Source organism: Homo sapiens, chromosome Y, assembly GCF_000001405.40.
Source record: "Homo sapiens chromosome Y, GRCh38.p14 Primary Assembly".
Lineage (NCBI taxonomy): Eukaryota > Metazoa > Chordata > Mammalia > Primates > Hominidae > Homo > Homo sapiens.
In genome coordinates, this window is record NC_000024.10 from 1336160 (window position 1) to 1360673 (window position 24514).

The window sequence follows — 24514 nt, forward strand, 5'->3', positions numbered from 1 at the left end:
CGAGTAGCTGGGATTACAGGTGCTCACCACCACGCTGGGCTAATTTTTGTATTTTTAATAGAGACGGGGTTTCACCATGTTGGCCAGGCTGGTCTCAATCTCTTGACCTCAAGTGATCTGCCCGCCTCGGCCTCCCAAAGTGCTGGGATGACAGGCGTGAGCCACCGCACCCGGCCACTAACATATCTTTAATAAGATCTGTCATCTGAGACCGGGGGCCACCTCCCTGTCTGGGTGCTGTTTCCCACGAGACAGGGAGGAAACACAGGCAGGAGCCCCTGGACACCAGCGTTCACGCCTCCAAGGCTGAATTTACTATGTCAGGAAGTTGCCCAACCCTGCCTGTATAGCCAGCAAGAATTCTAATTATAGCAAACAGAAACACTTGCAGAAAAAAAAAAAAATGAGAACGGGAACATGATAATTTTCAAAGAAAGAGTCTTTCTTTCAAGGAAAGTCAGGTTCATGGTTACGAAGCTGCTGACCCCAGGATCCCAGCCCGTGGGAGAGAAGGGGGTCTCTGACAGCCCCCACCCCTCCCCACTGCCAGATCCTTATTGGGTCTGAGTTTCAGGGGTGGGGCCCCAGCTGGAGGTTATAAAACAGCTCAATCGGGGAGTACAACCTTCGGTTTCTCTTCGGGGAAAGCTGCTTTCAGCGCACACGGGAAGATATCAGAAACATCCTAGGATCAGGACACCCCAGATCTTCTCAACTGGAACCACGAAGGCTGTTTCTTCCACACAGTACTTTGATCTCCATTTAAGGTAAGGTCCCCCCTCCAGGGTGGGATGAGGGAAAAAGAGGGCAGGCAGGGGAGGCGGTGGACTGTGGGTTCCCAAATCCAAGCTGGCAGACACGGGGCATTGGCATGTAACAGGTTTCTGCTGAGACCTGCTGTCCGTGTGGGCACCACACCACACATAGAATGACCCGGTACCAGAGAAGTATGTTTGCGATCTCATTCACCCTTTTGTAAGTGGATCGGACGCTGAAGCCATCATAGCATGTTAGATGCCTTGGGTTTATAAAGGTGATAGCATTAGGAGTAATTTGACAGTGCTTTCTGCTTTTTCTGTGTGCTTGCTAGAAAATGTACACACCTACACATGGCTAGAGTTCTCTGTTTATTAGAAAGCGCTGGTTCAGTTAGTCAATGAGCTCACGCCCAGGGCGAGCTGACTGCCAGCCGGGGAGCCGCTTTTGGGGCTGGGACCCCAGCCTGCTTGTAGTGTTTCTCAGTGGTTTTCAAAGGCTGGCGGGACTCAGAATGTTCCAGATGGCTGGTGAAACCTCAGGTCCCTCCTAGCAGCTTTATTCACAGTAGCCAAGAGGTGGAGACAGCCCTCGTACCCATCTATAGATGAATGGAAAAATATAATGTCCATCCACACAGTGGAATATTACGCAGCCATGAAAAGGAACAAGCAGCTTTATTCACAATAGCCAAGAGGTGGAGACAGCCCTCATACCCATCTATAGACGAATGGATAAATATAATGTGGTCCAGCCACACGGTGGAATATTACACAGCCATGAAAAGGAACAAGCAGCTTTATTCACAATAGCCAAGAGGTGGAGACAGCCCTCATACCCATCTATAGACGAATGGATAAATATAATGTGGTCCAGCCACACAGTGGAATATTACACAGCCATGAAAAGGAACAAGCAGCTTTATTCACAATAGCCAAGAGGTGGAGACAGCCCTCATACCCATCTATAGATGAATGGAGAAATATAATGTGGTCCAGCCACACAGTGGAATATTATACAGCCATGAAAAGGAACAAGCAGCTTTATTCACAATAGCCAAGAGGTGGAGACAGCCCTCGTACCCATCTATAGATGAATGGAGAAATATAATGTGGTCCAGACACACAGTGGAATATTATACAGCCATGAAAAGGAACAAGCAGCTTTATTCACAATAGCCAAGAGGTGGAGACAGCCCTCATACCCCCATCTATAGATGAAGGGAGAAATATAATGTCCATCCACACAGTGGAATATTACACAGCCATGAAAAGGAACAAGCAGCTTTATTCACAATAGCCAAGAGGTGGAGACAGCCCTCATACCCATCTATAGATGAATGGAAAAATATAATGTCCATCCACACAGTGGAATATTACACAGCCATGAAAAGGAACAAGCAGCTTTATTCACAATAGCCAAGAGGTGGAGACAGCCCTCATACCCCATCTATAGATGAATGGAGAAATATAATGTGGTCCAGCCACACGGTGGAATATTACACAGCCATGAAAAGGAATAAGCAGCTTTATTCACACTAGCCAAGAGGTGGAGAGAGTCCTCATACCCATCTATAGATGAATGGAGAAATATAATGTGGTCCAGCCACACGGTGGAATATTACACAGCCATGAAAAGGAACGAGGCTCTGCCACAGGTGGCAATGTGGGTGAATGCTGAGGACATCATGCTTCCTGAGAGAGGCCAGATACAAAAAGATACATAGTGTCTGTATGATTCCATTTATTCCCTATGTCCAGATACAGGCAAATCCACAGAGACAGAAAGTGGATGAGTGGTTGCCACAGGCTGGGGAAGAGGAAGGACGGGTCTTTAATGGGTCTGGAGTCTCCTTTTGGGGTCGTGACAATGTTCTAGAAGATAGAAGTGGTGGTTTTTTTTGAGACAGAGTCTCGCTCTGTCGCCCAGGCTGGAGTGCAGTGGCGCGATCTCAGCTCACTGCAACCTCCACCTCCCGGGTTCAAGCAATTCTCCTGCCTCAGCCTCCTGAGTAGCTGGGACTACAGGCACCCGCAACTACGCCTGGCTAATTTTTGTATGTTTAGTAGAGACTTTGTATGTTTAGTAGAGTAGTAGAGATTTTGTATGTTTAGTATGTTTTGTATGTTGGTCAGGCTGGTCTCGAACTCCTGACCTCAAGCAATCCACCCCCCTCAGCCTCCCAAAGTGCTGGGATTATAGGCGTGAGCCACCGCGCCTGGCCAATGAAAATATTAATCAATAAATGTTAAGAGCACAGATTTCCCAACGTTCTGACTCAGGCATCTTCCTGGACCACAGCCCCTACAGGCAAGTGTGACTGTGTGTGGTGAGCCCATGAGCTGAACACAGGCTCTGTCCGAAAGGAGACTCTAGAGATTGCCTGTTGCCTTGGAGGTGGGCTGCGGTCCCTCTGCCCAGGCAGGAAGGGGCTCCGAGGCCTCTGGAACCTCATTTTACCTTTTCCCTGCTGCCCTCAGTCCCGTCCCCAGCCTCAAGGGGCTCAGCTTTTTCCAGGCTCACCCCTTCCATTTATAATTTGGAGACAAGCAAGGTCCACTGACGCTAACGCCATTTGGTTCTTTAAAAGATGTTAGGCCGGGCGCGGTGGCTCACGCCTGTCATCCCAGCACTTTGGGAGGCCAAGGCGGGTGGATCATGAGGTCAGGAGTTCGAGACCAGCCTGACCAACATGGTGAAACACCATCTCTACTAAAAATAGAAAAATTAGCTGGGTGTGGTGGCGGACACCGGTAATCCCATCTACTGGGGAGGCTGAGGCAGGAGAATCGCTTGAACGTGGGAGGTGGAGGTTGCAGTGAACCAAGATCGCGCCACTGCACTCCGGCCTGGACAACAAGAGTGAGACTCCATCTCAGAAAAAACAAAACAAAACAAAACAAAAAACCAGAAAAGACAGCTGCCACCCCAGAGCACAGTGTAGGAGAGCCAGCCTTTCTGGGATGCGGCAGAAAGTTCCAGTGCAGGAGGCTGAGGTCCTGTACCCCCTTGTTACGGTAACTGCAGCCACTTAGGAATTTCCGTGTGTTGATTTCATCATTGTAATTATACTTCCTTCCACTGCTTTGTCATCTGAGCTTCCTGGTGTGCCGCAGAGGATGTGTTTTCCTGGTTTGTGGATACAGCTCGAGCCAAGAACGGGCTAAACCCCCAGGGCAGCAACTCTTTCTTTTCTTTTCTTTTTTTTTTTTTTTTTTGAGACGGAGTCTCGCTCTGTCGTCCAGGCTGGAGTGCAGTGGCGCCATCTCGGCTCACTGCAAGCTCCACCTCCCGGGTTCAACTGATTGTCCTGCCTCAGCCTCCCGAGTAGCTGGGATTATAGGCACACTCCACCACGCCTGGCTAATTTTTGTATTTTTAGTAGAGACGGGGTTTCACCATGTTAGCCAGGCTGGTCTTGAACTCCTGACCTCGGGCAATCTGCCCACCTCTGCTTCCCAAAGTGCTGGGATTACTGGCATGAGCCACTGCACCCAGCCGGCAGGGCTTCTTTCAAAAGGGAACGGCTGACACACACACAGATGCATGCACATACATGCACACATACACACTGATGCAAACACATTTGTACACATACATTCACACATGCATGCACATAAATATGCACTTCTAGGCACATGCATGCACACATACAGACTCATGCATGTATATTTGTGTATGCACATATATTTATGCACATGTGTGTACACGTGGAATGCATGCACAGATACATATGCATTCAAACACAAAGACTGTGTGTACCTGCATGCATGAAAACACACAAACACAGCCGGGCACGGTGGCTCACACCTGTAATCTCAGCACTTGGCGAGGAAAAGGCGGGCGGATCACCTGAGGCAGGAGTCCGAGACCAGCCTGGCCAACATGGTCAAATCTCTACTAAAAAATACAAAAAGTGGGCTGGACGCGGTGGCTGACGCCTGTCATCCCAGCACTTTGGGAGGCTGAGGTGGGTGGATCACCTGAGGTCAGGAGTTCGAGACCAGCCTGGCCAACACGGTGAAACCCCGTCTCTGCTAAAAATACAAAAATTAGCCGGACATGGTGGTGGGTGCCTATAATCCCAGCTACTCGGGAGGCTGAGGCAGGACAATCGGTTGAACCTGGGAGGCGGAGGTTGCAGTGAGCCCAGATCACGCCATTGCACTCCAGCCTGGGCAACAAGAGCAAAACTCTGTCACAAAAAATAAATAAATAAATAAATAATACAAAAATTAGCCAGGCATGGTGGCGAGTGCCTGTAATCCCAGCTACTCAGGAGGCTGAGGCAGGAGAGTCGCTTGAACCTGGGAGGCAGAGGTTGCAATGAGCCGAGATCATGCCACTGCACTCCAGCCTGGACGACAAGGGCGAGTCTCCATCAGGAAAAAAAAAAAAAGAAAACACACAAACACTTATGTGTGCACACAGATACACACGGGCACAAAAATGTACACACGTGCAAGCACACACACACACAGACACATGTACACAGTACCCGTGTGTGCACAGGCATGCATGCAGTCCTGCAAATGTGCAAACAGACATGGCTACATAGAGGCATGCACACATATAGACCCATGTACACACACACGAATATTCGTGCACACATGTAGAAGCACACTCTGATGTGCATGCATGTGCAAAGGCGCATTTGCACACAGACACATATGCACACTCACCACCGCTTTCCCTCCAGAAGCAGCTCCTTCTGCTGTGAGCACCAGGCTCTGGAAGGGGCAAGCATCCTTCATTACCCGCAACCCAGTTTCACAGCCAGTCCCCGCTGCCTGACTCTCGTTTCTCCTGCAGCAGGCACCTCTGTCCTGCGTTCCGGAGCTGCGTTCCCGATGGTCCTCCTTTGGCTCACGCTGCTCCTGATCGCCCTGCCCTGTCTCCTGCAAACGAAGGAAGGTAAGAACTGGAGAAAAAATGCACGTGCCACCTGGGGAGCGGTGGGGGTAGACAGACACACAATGTCAGCGTGCCGTCCTTCAGGGAAACTTTTCATGCTGAGCTCATGGCAGAGTCTCATGCAGTGGTCGGGAATGACTCAGACACTTCCCTGTACCCGTCACCAAGTTCCCTGTAATGCAGCATCTTGCAAAACGGTAATACGACCTCACAGGCAGGGACCTGATCGTGACACAGATGCCATGTGAGGTGTTTTGATGAAACTCACACGCTGGGATCAACAGCACCAATAACAATTTCCAGTTTCCTTCATTGTTTATCTTACTTTTTCATTTTCTTATTATTTTTATTTTGGAGACAGGGTCTTACTGTCTTGCCCAGGCTGGAGTGCAATAGTGTGATCTCGGCTCACTGCAACCTCTGCCTCCCGGATTCAAGCGATTCTTCTGCCTCAGCCTCCCGAGGAGCTGAGATTACAGTCGCGCACCACCATACCCGGCTAATTTCTGTATTTTTGATAGAGACGGGATTTCACTATGTCGGTCAGGCTGGTCTAGAACTGCTGACCACAAGTGATCCGTCTGCCTTGGCCTCCCAAAGTGCTGGGATTACAGGTGTGAGCCACAGCGCCCGGCCTTTTTTTTCATTGGTTTTTACAGTCTATTACTGCAGGGTTTCACTTTACCTTGAATTTCTTTTAACTTTAATTTGCTTTTCATTCTTTAACTTCTTTTTTTTTTTTTTTTTTGACACAGAGTTTCATTCTGGTCGCCCAGGCTGGAGTGTAATAGCGTGACCATGGCTCACTGCAACCTCTACCTGCTGGGTTCAATTGATTCTCCTGTCTCAGCCTCCCAAGCACCTGGGATTACAGGTGTCCGCCACCACGCCCAGCTAATTTTTCTGTTTTTACTAGAGACGGGGTTTCACCGTGTTAGACAGGATGGTCTCGATCTCCTGACCTCATGATCCGCCTGCCTCGGGGTTGGGATTACACACTTTGGGAGGCCAAGGCAGGTGGACGATCACAAGGTCAGGAGTTCGTGACCAGCCTGACTAACACGGTGAAACCCCGTCTCTACTAAAAATACAAAAATCAGCTGGGCGTGGTGGCGGGCGCCTGTAATCCCAGTTACTCGGGAGGCTGAGGCAGGAGAGTCGCTTGAACCCGGGAGGAGGAGGTTGCAGTGAGCCTAGATCACGCCATTGCACTCCAGCCTGGGCGACAGAGTGAGACTCCGTCTCAAAATGAATGAATGAATGAATGAATTTCTTATAAGAATTTTTTTCCCCAGACAGTTTGTTTTAAGGGATAAATTATCCTTCTAAGTTAGAAGAAAATAATGCCAGAAGTCTAGACATTCTTATGCTTTGGTCCCGCTTATCAAACCAAGGTTGCTGACCTTGATAACCACTCAAGATCCTTACAGTTTATAAAGTCATTTCCTCAAGTTTTCTAAGTGGCCGATCAGAGATAAACCCTAGAGAAATAGTTGATGTATGTTTCTAGCTTTGGGTGACCAGCAAAATGTGATAGAATATTGCCTTTTACTGGCCGGGTGCAACGGCTCACGTCTGTAATCCCAGCACTTTGGGAGGCTGAGGCGGGTGGATCACTTGAGGTCAGGAGTTCAAAACCAGCTTGGCCATCATGGTGAAACCCCGTCTGTACTAAAAATACAAAAAAATTAGCTGGGCGCGGTGCTGTGCACCTGTAATCCCTGCTACTCAGGAGGCTGAGGCAGGAGAATCACTTGAACCCGGGAGGCGGAGGTTGCCGTGAGCCAAGATCACGCCATTGCACTCCAACCTGGGTGACAGAGCGAGGCTCCATCTCAAAAAAAAAAAAAAAAAAAGAATATTGCCTTTAACATCTTTGTACAGGTCATTTATGAAATATCTTGAGCTCTGTGATGGCTAAGAGAGACCTTCTTTTTCTTTCTTTCTTTTTTTTTTTTTTGAGACGGAGTTTTTTTGTTTTTTTGAGATGGAGTCTCGCTCTGTTACCCAGGCTGGAGTGCAGTGGCACGATCTCAGCTCACCGCAACCTCCGCCTCCCGAGTTCCAGTGATTCTCCTGCCTCAGCTTCCTGATTAGCTGGGATTACAGGCGCCCGCCACCACGCCCAACTAATTTTTGTATTTTTAGTCGCGACGGGGTTTCACCGTGTTAGCCAGGATGGTCTTGATCACTTGACCTGGTGATCCGCCCACCTTGGCCTCCCAAAGTGCTGGGATGACGGGCGTGAGCCACCACGCCCGTTTGCTTTATGACTTCTACCAGCTCACAGAAGTCTCCTGTGTACATAGAACTCCACTTCCCAGCCAGGCTCAGTAACTCACGTCTGTGATCCCAGCACTTTGGGAGGCTGAGGCAGGCAGATCATGTGAGGTTGGGAGTTCGAGACCAGCCTGGCCAACATGGTGAAACCCCATCTCTAGTAAAAATACAAAAATTAGCCGAGTGTGGTGGCAGGCACCTGTTATCCCAGCTGCACAGCAGGCTGACACAGGATAATCGCTTGAACCCGGGAGGCGGAGGTTGTAGTGAGCCGAGATCGCGCCACTGAATTCCAGCCTGGGCGACAGAGTGAGACTCCGTCTCAAAACAAACAAGCAAACAAAAATACCCATTACAATGTTGTTTTAAGATTGTTGTATATCAACTGGGCATGGTGGCTCATGCTTGTAATCCCAGCACTTTGAGAGGCCGAGGCGGACAGATCACGAGGTCAGGAGATCGAGACCATCCTGGCCAACATGGTGAAACCCCATCTCTAGTAAAAATACAAAAATTAGCCGGGCGTGGTGGTGGGCTCCTGTAATCCTAGCTACTCGGGAGGCTGAGGCAGGAGAATCGCTTGAACCCGGGAGGTAGAGGTTGCGGTGAGCTGAGATCGTGCCACTGCACTCCAGCCTGGGTGACAAGAGCAAAACTCCGTCTCAAAAAAATAAAAAATTTAAAAAAATAAAGAACTCGACCTCCCAAAGGTATTGGCTAACTCCACGGGCAAAAAAACCATACCCATTACAATGCTGTTTTAAGATTGTTGACCTGGTGCGGTGGCTCATGCCTGTAATCCCAGCACTTTGGGAGGCTGAGGCGGACGAATCATGAGGTCAGGAGATCGAGACCATCCTGGCTAACACGGTGAAACGCCATCTCTACTAAAAATACAAAAAAAAAAAAATTAGCCGGGCGTGGTGGCGGGCGCCTGTAGTCCCAGCTACTCGGGAGGCTGAGGCAGGAGAGTTGCTTGAACCAGGAGGCGGAGCTTGCAGTGAGCTGAGATCGTGCCACTGTAGTCCAGCCAGGGCGACAAGAGTGAAACTCCATGTCAAAAAATTTAAAAAAATTAAATAAAAGAACTCCACCTCCCAAAGGTATTGGCTAACTCCACGGGCAAAAAAAAAAAACCATACCCCTTACAATGCCGTTTTAAGATTCTTACGTATCTCTTCGAACTCCAACCTGTCACCGTTTTAGATCCAAACCCACCAATCACGAACCTAAGGATGAAAGCAAAGGCTCAGCAGTTGACCTGGGACCTTAACAGAAATGTGACCGATATCGAGTGTGTTAAAGACGCCGACTATTCTATGCCGGTAAATCATACTCTCTATTGTTTTTTTATTTTTATTTTATTTATTTATGTATTTATGTATTTATTTATTTTTTGAGACGGAGTCTTGCTCTGTCGCCCAGGCTGGACTGCGGTGACCCGATCTCCGCTCTCTGCAACCTCCACCTCCCAGGTCCATGCCATTCTCCTGCCTCAACCTCCCGAGTAGCTGGGACTACAGGCGCCCGCCACCATGCCCGGCTAATTTTTTTGTATTTTTAGTAGAGATGGGGTTTCACTGTGTTAGCCAGGAGGGTCTCGATCTCCTGACCTCGTGATCTGCCCGCCTCGGCCTCCCAAAGTGCTGGGATTACAGGCGCGAGTCACCGCGCATGGCCCAGACTCTCTAATGTTGACGAACAAGACGTTTCCGTCTTCTGCAGGAATCTCAGAACCAATACTGCTCCCATCGCTGGTGTCATGACTACCTGGTTTCTGCCCCGAAGTCAGGTGTGGGATTTGAAGTGACTTTGGAGGGTCTGGTTCCCCGTCCGCGGGACATCTAAGATGGCACACACTGGACAGGGTGGATGTGAAAGTGAAATGAGGCTAAGCTATGACTGGTGCGAAACCCAACCCCACGCTGGGCGTGGTGGCTCACGTCTGTAATCCCAGCACTTTGGGAGGCTGAGGCGGGCGGATCATGAGGTCAGGAGTTCGAGACCAGTCTGGCCAACACGGTGAAACGCTGTCTCTGCTAAAAATACGAAAGTTAGCCGGGCACAGTGGCTCACACCAGCACTTTGAGAGGCTGAGGCGGATGGATCACCTGGGGCCAGGAGTTCGAGACTAGTCTGGGCAACATGGTGAAACCCCGCCTCCACTAAAAATATAAAAATTAGCTGGGCATGGTGGTGGGCGCCTGTAATCCCAGTTACTTGGGAGGCTGAGGCAGGAGAATCGCTTGAACCCGGGAGGCAGAGGTTGCATTGAGCCGAGACTGTGCCACTGCACTCCAGCCTGGGGGACGAGAGCAAGACTTCATGTCAAAAAAGAAAAAGAAAAATTAGCCGGATGTGGTGGCACATGCCTGTAATACCAGCTATTCAGGAGGCTGAGGCAGGAGAATTGCTTGAACCTGGGAGGCCGAGGTTGCACTGAGCCGAGATTGTGCCACTGCACTCCAGCCTGGGTGACAGAGTGAGACTCCATCTCAAAACAAAAACAAAAACAAAAGCAAAAACAAAACAAAAGTGTGTGCTCAGGAAACAAGGTCCTCATCACGAAATCCTTCCAAATCCCCCATCTTGTCATCACCTGCGTTCTCAGGGTTTGAGAACAGCGCCAGACCTCATGGGGTGGCCCAGGTGACACTGTGAGCTATTTACAAGTCAGTGTCTTATGGGAAAGGAGCACGTTTCCCTGAGAACCTATTTGGTCCCCTCCAAGAGCTATGTTCGTTCAATACAATTCAAATCACGGCCCTTCATGCGTCTGCTCGGGCCACCATTATAAAATCCTACCCCCAGCTCCAAATACAGTCCCATTGAACTTTGTGATTTTGGAGAGTAGAGATAAAACAGTCTAGAATCCCAGAGCGATTTTACCATACCATGGCAAACTGACTCTCAACTTTAGAAACACAAATGCTGAAAAAAAAACTAAGGAAATTTTGAAAAAGAAGGTGAATGAAGGAGAACCTGCCTTACCTATATCAAAAGGCACTGAAAAGTTCATACCCAATGTGCGGATTGCTATAAGAATACACAAGTAGGCCGGGCGTGGTGGCTCACGCCTGTCATCCCAGCACTTTGGAGGCCGAGGCGGGTGGATCACGAGGTCAGGAGATCGAGACCCTCCTGGCTAACACGGTGAAACCCCGTCTCTACTAAAAATATAAAAATTAGCCGGGCGTGGTGGCTGGTGCCTGTAGTCCCAGCTACTCGGGAGGCTGAGGCAGGAGAATGGCTTGAACCTGGGAGGCAGAAGCTTGCAGTGAGCCGAGATCGCGCCACTGCACTCCAGCCTGGGCGACAGAGCGAGACTCTGTCTCAAAAAAACAAAAACAAAAGCAAACAAAACGAAGAATATACAAGTAGATTAATGAAATGTGGCCGGGTGCGGTGGTGAGGCAGGAGAATTGCTTGAACCCGAGAGGTGGAGGTTGCAGTGAGCTGAGATCGCACCACTGAAGTCTAGCCTGGGCAAGCGGAGTGAGGCCCTGTCTTAACAAAAAAACAAAGAAACAAAAAACAAACAAACAAGAAAAAAACAAAGCAAAACAAACAGAAAAGTATTTCACTAATATTTACTGCTAAGTGGGATTATTTTTATTCAAGCTTTTGTATCTTTAGAAAAAAATTGTGGCCGGGCGCGGTGGCTCACGCCTGTCATCCCAGCACTTTGGGAGGCCGAGGAGGGTGGATCACGAGGTCAGGAGATCGAGACCCTCCTGGCTAACACGGTGAAACCCCGTCTCTACTAAAAATATAAAAATTAGCCGGGCGTGGTGGCGGGCGCCTGTAGTCCCAGCTACTTGGGAGGATGAGGCAGGAGAATGGCATGAACCCGGGAGGGAGAGGCTACAGTGAGCCGAGATCGCGCCCCTGCACTCCAGCCTGGGCGACAGAGCGAGACTCCCTCTCAAAAAAAAAAAAAACAGAAAAAAGTCTTGGCCGGGCACGGTGGCTCACGCCTGTAATCCCAGCACTTTGGGAGGCTGAGGCAGGCGGATCACATGAGGTCAGGAGTTCGAGACCAGCCTGACCAACATGGTGAAACCCTGTCTCTACCCAGAAAAATACTTTAAAAATTAGCTGGGCGTGGTGGCGGGCACCTGTAATCCCAGGTGCTCGGGAGGTTGAAGCAGGAGAATGGCTTGAACCCGGGAGGGAGAGGCTGCAGTGAGCCGAGATCACGCCACTGCACTCCAGCGTGGGCGACGAGAGCGAAACTCTGCCTCAAAAAAAATCTGAACATCATTAGCGTCAAATTAAGCATGGTCTGTCAGCAGCCATCATAGTCCTATGTCTCTCTTAGGCAGTGAACAATAGCTATTGCCAGTTTGGAGCAATTTCCTTATGTGAAGTGACCAACTACACCGTCCGAGTGGCCAACCCACCATTCTCCACGTGGATCCTCTTCCCTGAGAACAGTGAGAAAAATGTTCATTGTTTGTTTATTCTCTATTCCCTCCCTCCTTCCCTCTCTCCCTCCCTCTCGCCTTCGCTGTGTCTTTTTTCTTTTCTTTTTCTCTTTCTTTCTTTCTTTCTTTCTTTCTTTCTTTCTTTCTTTCTTTCTTTTTCTTTCTTTCTGTTTCTGTTTCTTTCTTCCTTTCTTTTTCTTTCTTTCTTTCCTTCTTTCCTCTCTTTCTTTTCTTTCTCTTTCCCTCCCTCCCTTCTTTCTTTTCTTCACTTCCTTCCCTCCCTCCTTCTCTCCTTTTCCTCCCTCCTCCTTCCCACCCTACTTCCTCTCTCTCCTTCCTTCCCTTTCGTTTTCTTTTCCTCCCTGCCTCACTCCCTTCCTTCCTTCTCTCCCTCCTCTTTTCCTTCCTTCTTCCCTCCTTCCCTTTCTCTCTCTCTCTCTTTCTCTCTTTCCCCCTCCCCTCCCTTCCCCTCCTCTCCCCTCTCCTTTCCTGACACGGTCTTGCTCTGTTGCCCAGGCTGGAGCGCAGTGGTGCAATCACAGCTTACTGCAGGCTTCACCTCCTGAGCTCAAACAATCCTTCTGCCTCAGCCTCCCACGTAGGTGGAACTACACCCATGTACCACCATGCCCACCTAATTTTTTAAACACCTTTTTTTTTTTTTAGACAGAGTCTCACTCTGTCCACCAGGCTGGAGTGCACTGGCGCGATCTCGGCTCACTGCAACCTCTGGCTCCCGGGTTCAAGCGATTCTCCTGCCTCAGCCTCCCGAGTAGCTGGGATTATAGGCGCCCACCGCCACGCCCAGCTAATTCTTGTATTTTTAGTAGAGATGGGGTTTCACCATGTTGGTCAGGCTGGTCTCAAACTCCTGACTTCGTGATCTGCCCGCCTCGGCCTCCCAAAGTGCTGGGAGTACAGGGGTGAGCCACCGCGCCCAGCCTTAAATACTTTTTGTAGAGATGGGGTGTCGCTATGTTACCTGAGCTGGTCTCAAACTCCTAGGCTCAAGTGATCCTCCCGCCTCAGTCTCCCAAAGTGCAGGGATTGTAAGCATCAGCCACCACGCCTGGCCTCTTCTTTGTTTTTTAATTAATTAGAAGTCCATGGTTTATTTTTTTGTTTTGTTTTGTTTGTTTTTCTGTGATGGAGTCTTGTTCTTGTCGCCCAGGCTGGAGTGCAGTGGTGCGATTTCAGCTTACCGCAAACTCCGCCTCCCGGGTTCAAGCGATTCTCCTGCCTCAGCCTCACAAGTAGCTGGGATTACAGGCACCCGCCACCAAGCCCGGCTAAATTTTGTATTTTAAGTAGAGACGGGGCTTCACCATGTTGGTCTCGAACTCCTGACCTTGTGATCCACCCGCCTCAGCCTCCCAAAGTGCTGGGATGACAGGCGGGAGCCACTGTGCCGGGCCTCAATTTAATTATTTTTAAGTTTAATGGATTTCCAGGGAGTTATGCCGAGTCGGAAAAAAAAGACCACTCCAGAGCGTGACACACACAGTGATTTCATTAATACAACTGTCTTGAAATGGCAAAATTTTACAAATAGAAAACAGTCTCCTGGGTTGCAGGGATATAAGCAGGAGTGAGAGCTGAGAGAGGTGGGTTTGGCTGTAAAAGTGCTCCTTGGGGAGGCCGGGCGCAGTGGCTCACGCCTGTAATCCCAGCACTTTGGGAGGCCGAGGCGGGCGGATCACCTGAGGTCAGGAGTTCGAGACCAGCCTGGCCAACATGGTGAAACCCCGTCTCTACTAAAAACACAAAAATTAGCCGGGCATGGTGGCTCACGCCTGTAATCCCAGCACTTTGGGAGGCCGAGGCAGGCGGATCACCTGAGGTCAGGAATTCGAGACCAGCCTGGCTAACATGGTGAAACCCCATCTCTACTAAAAATACAAAATTAGCCAGGGGTGGTGGCACATGCCTGTAGTCCCAGCTACTCAGGAGGCTGAGGCAGGAGAATCACTTGAACCCGGGAGGCGGAGATTGCGGTGAGCTGAGATCGTGCCATTGCTCTCCAGCCTGGGCAACAAGAGTGAAATTCCATCTAAAAAAAAAAAAAAATTAAAAAGAAATTAGCGGCCGGGCCCAGTGGCTCACACCTGTAATCCCAGCACTTTGGGAGGCCGAGGTGGGTGGATCGCGAGGTCAGGAGATCGAGACCATCCCGGCTAACATGGTGAAACCCCATCTCTACTAAAAATACAAAATTAGCCAGGGGTGGTGGCACATGCCTGCAGTCCCAGCTACTCAGGAGGCTGAGGCAGGAGAATCACTTGAACCTGGGAGGCGGAGGTTGTGGTGAGCCATTGAGCTCCAGCCTGGGCAACAAGAGTGAAACTCTGTCTTAAACACACACACAGATGCACACACACGCACACACACACAAACAATGAAAGAAAAACATCTGTAGTCCCAGCAGTTTGGGAGGCTGAGGCGGGTGGATCACTTGAGGTCAGGAATTCGCGACCAGTCTGGGCAACATGGTGAAACCCCATCTCTACTAAAAATACAAAAATTAGCTGGGTGTGGTAGTGGGTGCCTGTTGTCCCAGATACTTGGGAGGCTGAGGCAGGAGAATTGCTTGAACCCGGGAGGTGGAGGTTGCAGTGAGCCGAGATGGCGCCATTGTACTCCAGCCTAGGCGACGGAGCGAGACTCTGTAAAAATGAATAAATAAATCATTAAAAGAATATGCAGGATCTCTCCATATTATTATTATTTTTTACAACGGCTTGTGTATCTACCATGGTCTCAAAATACAAAAGGCACTCTAAAAAGGAATTAGAGTTTTATTTTTTTTTTTGAGACGGAGTCTCGCTCTTGTCACACAGGCTGGAGTGCAGTGACGTGGCCTGGGCTCACTGCAACCTCTGCCTCCTGGGTTCAAGAAATTCTCCTGCCTCAGCCTCCCTAGTAGCTGGGATTACAGCGGCCCGACATCACGCCCGGCTAATTTTTGTATTTTTAGTAGAGGCAGGGTTTCACCATGTTAGCCAGGCCGGTCTCGAACTCCGGACCTCAGGTGATCCTCCTGCCTCGGCCTCCCAAAGTGCTGGGATTACAGGCGTGAGCCACCATGCCTGGGTTTGTTTTTTTATTTTTTTGAGACGAAGGCTCACTCTGTCGCCCAGGCTGGAGTGCAGTGGCGTGATCTCAGCTCCATGCAACCTCTGCCTCCTGGGTTCAAGAAATTCTCCTGCCTCAGCCTCCCGAGTAGCTGGGATTACAGCGGCCCGACATCACACCTGGCTAATTTTTTATATTTTTAGTAGAGACTGGGTTTCACCATGTTAGCCAGGCTGGTCTCGAACTCCGGACCTCGGGTGATCCACCTGCCTCGGCCTCCCAAAGTGCTGGGATCACAGGCGCGTGCCACCAGACACAGCTAATTTTTGCATTTTTAGTAGAGATTGGGTTTCTCCATGTTGGCCAGGCTGGTCTCGAACTCCTGACCTCATGTGATCCACCCGCCTCGGCCTCCCAAAATGCTGGGGTGACAGGCGTGAGCCACCGCGCCCGGTCCCGATTCGAGTTCTCTTTCATGTTTGTGAACCCAGGTGGGAAGCCTTGGGCAGGTGCGGAGAATCTGACCTGCTGGATTCATGACGTGGATTTCTTGAGCTGCAGCTGGGCGGTAGGCCCGGGGGCCCCCGCGGACGTCCAGTACGACCTGTACTTGAACGTTGCCAAGTAGGTGTGCCCGTGGGCAGAGGCCGGGCTGTCCCTGGTGCGGGTGCCATCGGCGTGGGGTCGTCCCCCAACCTTACCGCTTACCGCAGCAGGCGTCAACAGTACGAGTGTCTTCACTACAAAACGGATGCTCAGGGAACACGTATCGGGTGTCGTTTCGATGACATCTCTCGACTCTCCAGCGGTTCTCAAAGTTCCCACATCCTGGTGCGGGGCAGGAGCGCAGCCTTCGGTATCCCCTGCACAGATAAGTTTGTCGTCTTTTCACAGATTGGTGAGTAGCCCGGGACACTCCCTCCCACCCTCAGTTCTGTGATACCACGGCTTTAGCGCCAGGCCAGATCCCACGGGACCACGTGGCTCCCAACGCAGACGTTGGCCTCTCACATTTCCAGAGGCTGGACGTTGGAGGTCAGCGTGCTGGCTGGCTGGGCTCCTCGGGAGGTCTCTTCCTGGCTTGGAGAGAGGGTCATCTTCTCACTGTGTCTTCACGTGGTGTAGAGAGAGAGAGAGATGAAGTTCTGGGGTCTCTTGTTAGAAGGGCACTAACACCATCATGGGTCCCATCATGGGTCATAGGATCCCTCACCATGGGTCATGGGACCCCCCATCATGGGTTCCATCATGGGTCCCATCATGGGTCATAGAATCCCCCATGATGGGTTTCATCATGAGTCATAGAACCCCCTATCATGGATTCCATCATGGGTCATGGGAACCCCCATCATGGGTCCCATCATGGTTCATAGGATCCCCCATCATGGGTTTCATCATGAGTCATAGAACCCCCTATCATGGATTCCATCATGGGTCATGGGAACCCCCATCATGGGTCCCATCATTGGTCATAGGACCCCCTATCATGGGTTCCATCATGGGTCATGGGACACCCCCCATCATGGGTTCCACCATGAGTCATGGGATCCCTCATCGTGGGTTCCATCATGGGTCATGGGACCCCCCATCATGGGTTCCATCATGGGTAATAGGACCCCCCCATCATGGGTTCCACCATGAGTCATGGGATCCCTTATCATGGATTCCATCATGGGTCATGGGACCCCCTATCATGGATTCCATCATGGGTCATGGGACCCCCCCATCATGGGTCCCATCATGAGTCATGGGATCCCTCATCATGGGTTTCATCATGGGTCATAGGACCCCCATCATGGATTCCATCATGGGTCATGGGAACCTCCATCATGGGTCCCATTATGGGTCATAGAATTCCCCATCATGGGTTCCATCATGAGTCATGGGACCCCCCATCATGGGTTCCACATGGGATCCCTCATCATTGGTTCCATCATGGGTCATAGGATCCCCCATCATAGGTCCCATCATGGGTTCCACATGGGATCCCCCATCATAGGTCCCATCATGGGTCATGGGACCCCCCCCATCATGGGTTCCATCACGGGTCATGGGACCCCCCCCATCATGGGTTCCATCACGGGTCATGGGACCCCCCCCAATCATGGGTTCCATCATGGGTCATGGGAACCCCCATCATGGGTTTCATCATGGGTCATAGGATCCCCTATCATGGGTTCCATCATGGGTCATGGGACCCCCCCCATCACGGGTTCCATCATGGGTCATGGGAACCCCCATCATGGGTTTCATCATGGGTCATAGGATCCCCTATCATGGATTCCATCATGAGTCATGGGATCCCTCATCATGGGTTCCATCATGGGTCATGGGACCCCCCCCCCCATCATGGGTCGTGGGACCCCCACCCCCATCATGGGTCATGGGAGCCCCCATTGTGAGTCATGGAATCCCTCATCATGGGTCTCATCATGGGCCATGGGTCCCACCATGGGTCATGGGAGCCCCCATCATGAGTCATGGAATCCCTCATCATGGGTCATGGGTCCCATCATGGGTCATGGGAGCCCCCATCATGGGTCATGGGTCCCATCATGGGTCACGGGAGCCCCCATCATGGGGGTCCACCCTCATAACTTCAGCCCACGCCAGTCACCTCCCAAAGACCCCACCTTCTAACACCGCCCAACCAGGGGTTAGAGCTTCAGTGGAGGAATTTGGGACAGAAGGACACACACTTTCAGTCCACGATACCCGAGCTCCGAGGAACCTCCCAGGTGGTGAGAATGTCAATATGCCCAGAGCTGACGTGCCCTGAACCCAAGGGCAGGGTGCTCGGATGCTTCAGAAGAGGAGGGGGAAACGAGGAAGAGGAGGAGAAGGACAAGGAGAAGAGAAGGGAGGAGAGGAAGAACATGAGCAGGGGGAGGAGGAGGAGAAGGAAAAGAAACAGAGGAAAAGGAGGGGGAGGAGGTAGAGATGGAGAGGGAAGGAAGAGGAGGAAGAGAAGAAAACGGAGAAAGAGGAGGGGGAGGAGGAGGAGGAAGAGAAAATGGAGAAAGAGGAGGGGGAGGAGGTGGAGATGGGGAGGGGAGGAAGAGGAGGAAGAGAAGAAAACAGGAGGGGGAGGAAGAGAAGAAAATGGAGGGAAAGGAGGGGGAGGAGGTGGAGATGGGGAGAGAAGGAGCAGGAGGAGGAGAAGAAAGAAGAGGAAGAAAGGAGGAGGAGAGGGTGGAGGAGGAAGAGGGTGAAGGAGAGAGGGAGGAGAATGGAGAGGAGGAGGAGGCGGGGGAGGGAAGAGAAGGAGGTGAGGAGGAGGAAGGGGAGGATAGAGAAGGTGGGGTAGAAGGGTGGTGAGGTGGGGAGGGAGAAGGAGGGGGAGGAGGAGAGAGGAGGACTGGGGGGAGGAAGGGGGAGGAGGGGAGAGAGGAGGAGGGAGGAGGGAGAAGGAGGGGGAGAGGATGGAGGAAGGGGAGCAGATGGAGGAAGGCGAGCAGGAGGGGGAGGAAAAAGGAGGGGCAGGAGGAAGAAGGAGCGGGAGGAGAGGAGGAGGAGGAGGAGGAGAATGGGCAGGGAGGAGGAGAGGGAAGAAAAGGAGGGGGAGGAGGAAGGAGGGGGAGGAGGGTGGAGGGGGAGGAGGGTGGAGGGGGAGGAGGGTGGAGGGGGAGGAGGAAGGAGGGAGAAGGAGGGGAGAGGATGGAGGAAGAGGAGCAGGAGGGGGAGGAAAAAGGAGGAGGGGCAGGAGGGGAGGAGGAGAAAGGAGAGTGGAGGAGGAGGGTGACAAGGAGAATGGGGAGGAGAGAGGAGTGGTAGAAAAAGGAGAGAGAGGAAGAGTAGGAGCGGAGGGGGAGGAGGGGAGGGGAGGGGAGGGGAGAAAGACCAGGAGGGTAGGAGGAGGGGGAGGAGGAGGAGGGGGCCAGGGCTGGACTTCCTTCCAGGGGCCCAGGGGAGACCCAGCCAGGCAGCCGGACACACAGGGCTGGGCTGGTAGTCGGGTCACACCTGAGGATGTGGAAGTGCCTGGGGTTCCCGGGAAGTGGAGGATGTCCTGGGCCACTGGGAGAGGCGGCACATCCCCTGGGGGGCGGAGGTGGGGGAGGTGAGAAGCCAGGCAGGGGCCAGGAAGTGGAAGCTTCAGGAGGATGTGTGCAGGTCAAAGTGTAGGAGTCTGCATCTTGAATGATGCAGAGAGGGCCTCCAAGGCTCCAGTGTGCTGCAGGTGGGCAGAGGGGGCATGGGAAGTAGGGGTTGGCCCTGGGCAGGGGTGGGGAGTGGGCCAGGCTGCCCAGCGGGGCTGAGCCTAGAGATGGAAGGGGCAGGGACAAAGATGTGCAGCTGCCAGTCCTTGGAAAAGCTGAACGCCTGGTACTTCAGAGAACAAAAGGGTGGTTCTGAAGGCTGCTCCCAGGACAGTGGGGCTCCGAGGGTGCAACCCCAAGGCTCACTCCTCCCAGTGCCCCCAACGCGGCTCAGTCCTGTGTCTCTGCCTGTAGAGTTTCTTTGTTCCCTCTTCCTTCCTGGTGTTTTTCTCTCCCGCTCTCCAAATGCATAGGAGAAGTAATTTGAAGTATCTCCAGAAAAAAAAAGAGAAAAAGAAAAAGAATTGATTTCTTGTACTCCTAAATCCTAAAAGTGTTTTTCTCGTTGCTAGAGATATTAACTCCACCCAACATGACTGCAAAGTGTAATAAGACACATTCCTTTATGCACTGGAAAATGAGAAGTCATTTCAATCGCAAATTTCGCTATGAGCTTCAGATACAAAAGGTAAACTTTCACCCCGCCCCCAGCCCCCCCACCCCCGTGGACATCCCTTATTTTTGGTAAGTCGCACTCTGGGGCCTTGAAACGGGCAACAATCTCCTCTGATAACGTCACAGAAGGCATGGATCATTAAAAAACAAAAACAAAAACAAAAGGCCGGGCGCTGTGGCTCACGCCTGTCATCCCAGCACTTTGGGAGGCTGAGGCAGGTGGATCACAAGGTCAGGAGATCGAGACCATCCTGGCTAACGCGGTGAAACCCCGTCTCTACTAAAAATACGAAAAAAAATTAGCTGGGCGTGGTGGCACGGTCTTGTAGTTCCAGCTACTGGGGAGGCCGAGGCAGGAGAATTGCTTGAACCCAGGAGGTGGGGGTTGCAGTGAGCCGAGATCGCGCCATTGCACTCCAGCCTGGGCGACAGAGCGAGACTCCGTCTCAAAAAAAAAAAAAAAGTTTGAGACTGTATGTGGTCTGTTGTTTTTTATTTTTATTATTTCTATTGTTATGTGGTTTTTTAATTTTTTCTTGAACTTTCTTTTTTCTTTTGTAGTGATCTACAGATTCAATGCAAGCTTCCCAGATATTTTTGATCCACAGTTCGTTGGATCAGTTGAACATAAATATTGATTTATTTATTGAGCCACTCTGGCTCTGTAGCCCAGACTGGAGTGCAGTGGCTTAAATCTTGACTCACTGCAACCTCTGCCTCCCGGGTTCAAGTGATTCTCCTGCCTCAGCCTCCCGAGTAGCTGGGATTATGGGCACCCATCACCACACCCAGCTAAGTTTTTGTATTTTTAGTAGAAACAGAGTTTCATCATGTTGGCCAGGCTGGTCTCAAACTCCTGACCTCAGGTGATCCACCCGCCTCGGCCTCCCAAAGTGCTGGGATTACAGGTGTGAGCCTTCGTGCGCAGCCTATGTGTTATATTTAGTTTGTATTTTATTTTATTGTATTTTATTATTTATTTATTTATTTTTGAGACGGAGTCCTGCTCTGTCACCCAAGCTGTTTGTTTGTTTGTTTGTTTGTTTATTATTTTTGAGACGGAGTCCTGCTCTGTTGCCCAGGCTGGGGTGCAGTGGCATGATCTCAGCTCACTGTAACCTCCGCCTCTCGGGTTCAACCAATTCTCAGCTTCAGCCTCCTGAGTAGCTGGAATTACAGGCACCTGCCACCATGCCTGGCTAATTTTTTTTTGTATTTTTAGTAGAGATGGGGTTTCACCATCTTGTCCTGGCTGGTCTTGAACTCCTGACCTCATGATCCACCCGCCTCAGCTTCCCAAAGTGCTGGGATTACAGGCGTGAGGCACTGTGCCCCGCCATATATTTATTATTTATGCTCAAATACTAATTATTTCATATGCAATTTTTCTGTAAGTCTAAATCTGCTAAAAAACGTTAGGTCTATTAATTTCTTTTATATTACCAAGTGTTTTTTAGCCAATCTGTTTGGGTTTTTTTTTTTTTTAAGAAAATAAATGGCTGGGTGCAGTAGCTTACGCCTGTAATCCCAGCACTTTGGGAGGCCGAGGCAGGACGATCACGAGGTCAGGAGATAGAGACCATCCTGGCTAACATGGTAAAACCCCGTCTCTACTAAAAATACAAAAAAAAATTAGCTGGGCGTGGTGGCGGGCGCCTGTAGTCCCAGCTACTTGGGAGGCTGAGGCAGGAGAATGGCGTAAACCCAGAAGGCGGAGCTTGCAGCGAGCTGAGATTGTGCCACTGCACTCCATCCTGGGCAACAGAGTGAGACTCCGTCTCAGGAGAAAAAAAAAAAAAGAAAATAAATACAGCACAGACTTCTTTCTTTCACTGATTTGAGGGAGCAGGCATAGCTGCAGCCACAGGCAGAGTCGTAGCTAGTCTGATGTTGCACCCCCTACCTAGTTCGCTGGCCTGGCATAGGCTGTCTGTGGCTACCCCTGAGTGCATCTGGACACAGTCTGGGAGGACGGTGGGTCTTGTTTGTCCACCGGCCTCACAAAGCCCCCTCCCACCAAGGTCTTGCCACAGTGGCCCATAAGAAACCTTTTGGGCCAGGCGCGATGGGGCATGCCTGTAATCCCAGCACTTTGGGAGGCCGAGGTGGGCAGATCATGAGGTCAAGAGATCAAGACCATCCTGGCCAACATGGTGAAACTTTGTTTCCACTAAAAATACAAAAAATTAGCCAGGCGTGGTGGCACGCACCTGTAGTCCCAGCTACTCGGGAGACTGAGGCAAAAGAATCACTTGAATCCGGGAGGCGGAGGTTGCAGTGAGCCGAGATCACGCCACTGCATTCCAGCCTGGGTGACGGAGTGAGACTCCGTCTCATAAATAAATAAACAAACAAACCTTTTGGTCAGGTGCTATTTACTCCTAAGCTCATTATTTTGCCCCCACTGCTGCCCGAAGGCCTTCCCAGAGCCCTCACTGTTTTGCTGGTTTTCCTGGAGGGAGAAATTTGAGTTTGGGAGGAGGAGGCTTTCAGGGACGGTCCAGACACTCAAAAGTTTGCTTGCTTTTGTGTTGCAGAGAATGCAGCCTGTAATCACAGAACAGGTGAGTGTTCCCTACCCCCAGCCGCTGTACTTGACATTGCAAAGGGTGAGTTTTATTATTATTAAGAATAAAATGATAAAAAATATTAATAATTCTTATTAATAAAATAATGAAAATATTATTAATAATAAATGTTATTATTCAATGTTCAGTGACTTTCATTGGACAGACTCTTGAGTGTCACCCTTACTGCGATCTTGCAAAATTGGGATATTTCACATCCCCAAATTGAGGGATGGGAAAAGGAAGAGTCAGGGATGACACCTCCCAAGGTGTGAGAGCCAGATGCTATGGCTGGCCAGGTGCTGTCCAAACGAGGTCCACCCATTTGCCCCAGATTCCTTACCCTGGGCCAGGCAGCCCCAGTCCAGCAGGAACAAGCTACCAAACCATAGCTCCACCCAGCAGAGACAAGCATTCAGACAGGTGGCCCAGACCTCAGACAGAGGACCCTCCCCCAGCCCCTGCCTGGGATCTGCAGGAACAGACAGCCGGACCACAGCATTCTCTGTCCCCTCTCTCTCTGTCCATCTCTTTCCCCGTATCTCTTTCTCTGTCTCTGAATCTCTCTGCCTTTCTCCCTCCCTCTCTTTCTCTCTCTCTCGTCTCTATCTCCCTCCCCCTCTCTGTATCTCCCTCCCTTTTTCCCTCCCTCTATCTTTCTGGCTCTCTCCCTGTGTCTATCTCTCCCTGTCCCCATCTCTCTCTGTGTCTCTTTCCCTCCCTCTCTCATTCTCCTTCCCTCTCTCTATCTTTCTCTCCCTGTCTCTATCTCCCGCTCCGTGTCTGTCTCTATCTTTCTCCCTTTCTCCCTCCATCTCTCTCTCCCTGTCTCTCTCTCCCCGTTCCCATCTCTCTCTCTGTGTCTCTGTCTCTCCCTCTCTCATTCTCCCTCCCTCTTTTATTCTCCCTCCCTCTCTTTCTCTCTCTCTCTCTCTCTCCTGGTCTCTGTCTCCCCCCTCCCCATCTCTTTCTCTGTGTCTGTCTCTGTAACCTTCTCCATTTCTCCCTCCATCTCTCTGTCTCTCCCTGTGTCTATCTCCCACTGTCCCTGTCTGTTTCTCCGTGTCTGTCTCTGTATCTCTCTCCCTTTCTCCCTCCATCTTTCTCTCTCTCCCCCGGTCTCTATCTTCCCTTCTCCCCATCTCTCTCTCTCTGTCTGTCTCTGTATCTCTCTCCCTTTCTCCCTCCATCTTTCTCTCTCTCTCCCGGTCTCTATCTCCCCCTCTCCCCGTCTCTTTCTCCGTGTCTGTCTCTGTGTCTCTCTCCCTTTCTCCCTCCCTCCATCTTTCTCTCTCTCTCCCGGTCTCTATTTCCTCCCTCCCCATCTCTTTCTCTGTGTCTGTCTCTGTATCTCTCTCCCTTTCTCCCTCCATCTTTCTCTCTCTCTCCTGGTCTCTATCTCCCCCTCTCCCTGTCTCTCTGTGTCTGTCTCTGTATCTCTCTCCCTTTCTCCCTCCCTCTCTTTATCTCTCTCTCTCTCTCTGCCTCTATCTCCCACTGTCCAAATCTGTGTCTCTGTCTCTCCCTCTTTCATTCTCCCTCTCTTTCTCTATCTCTCTCCTTGTCTATATCTCCCCCTCTCCCAGTCTCTCTGTATCTCTGTATCTCTCTCCCTTTCTCCTTCCCTCTCTTCATCTTTCTTTTTGAAACGGAGTTTTTCTCTTGTTGCCCAGGCTGGAGTGCGATGGCACGATCTCGGCTCACTGCAACCTCCGCCTCCCAGGTTCAAGCGAATCTACTCCCTCAGCCTCCCAAGTAGCTGGGATTACAGGCACTCGCCACC

The 24514-nt window shown here is 50.9% G+C and overlaps 1 protein-coding gene and 1 long non-coding RNA gene across 25 annotated transcripts in view; one reads left to right on the top strand and one right to left on the bottom strand.

Moving 5' to 3' along the window:
* The first annotated feature begins 625 nt into the window (after positions 1 to 625).
* Positions 626 to 24514, top strand: part of IL3RA (interleukin 3 receptor subunit alpha) — a 45905-nt gene continuing 22016 nt past the window's right edge. Inside the window, exons 1-8 of one of the 7 annotated variants that reach the window (NM_002183.4) lie at positions 626 to 767; positions 5569 to 5670; positions 9157 to 9275; positions 12272 to 12386; positions 15941 to 16073; positions 16163 to 16347; positions 20062 to 20177; positions 22702 to 22728. In NM_002183.4, coding sequence (NP_002174.1) covers positions 5607 to 5670; positions 9157 to 9275; positions 12272 to 12386; positions 15941 to 16073; positions 16163 to 16347; positions 20062 to 20177; positions 22702 to 22728 — 759 coding nt within the window. In that variant the 5' untranslated portion in view covers positions 626 to 767; positions 5569 to 5606. Of the gene's footprint in view, positions 768 to 5422; positions 5671 to 9156; positions 9276 to 12271; positions 12387 to 15940; positions 16074 to 16162; positions 16348 to 20061; positions 20178 to 22701; positions 22729 to 24514 lie in introns of those variants that run through there. The other 6 variants (XM_005274781.2, XM_005274780.6, XM_017030043.3 and 3 more) reach the window with 6 other exon arrangements.
* Positions 813 to 24514, bottom strand: part of LOC101928032 (uncharacterized) — a 41505-nt gene continuing 17803 nt past the window's right edge. For 10 of the 18 annotated variants that reach the window (XR_001756028.2, XR_007068474.1, XR_001756017.2 and 7 more), the window contains 5 exons: positions 19413 to 19981; positions 16461 to 16559; positions 16151 to 16312; positions 5439 to 5654; positions 1415 to 2630 (listed from right to left, as the gene is read on the bottom strand). This is a non-coding gene — a long non-coding RNA (uncharacterized LOC101928032). Of the gene's footprint in view, positions 1358 to 1414; positions 2631 to 5438; positions 5655 to 13869; positions 14428 to 14614; positions 15041 to 16150; positions 16313 to 16392; positions 16560 to 19412; positions 19982 to 22374; positions 23317 to 24514 lie in introns of those variants that run through there. The other 8 variants (XR_001756029.3, XR_001756030.2, XR_007068475.1 and 5 more) reach the window with 8 other exon arrangements.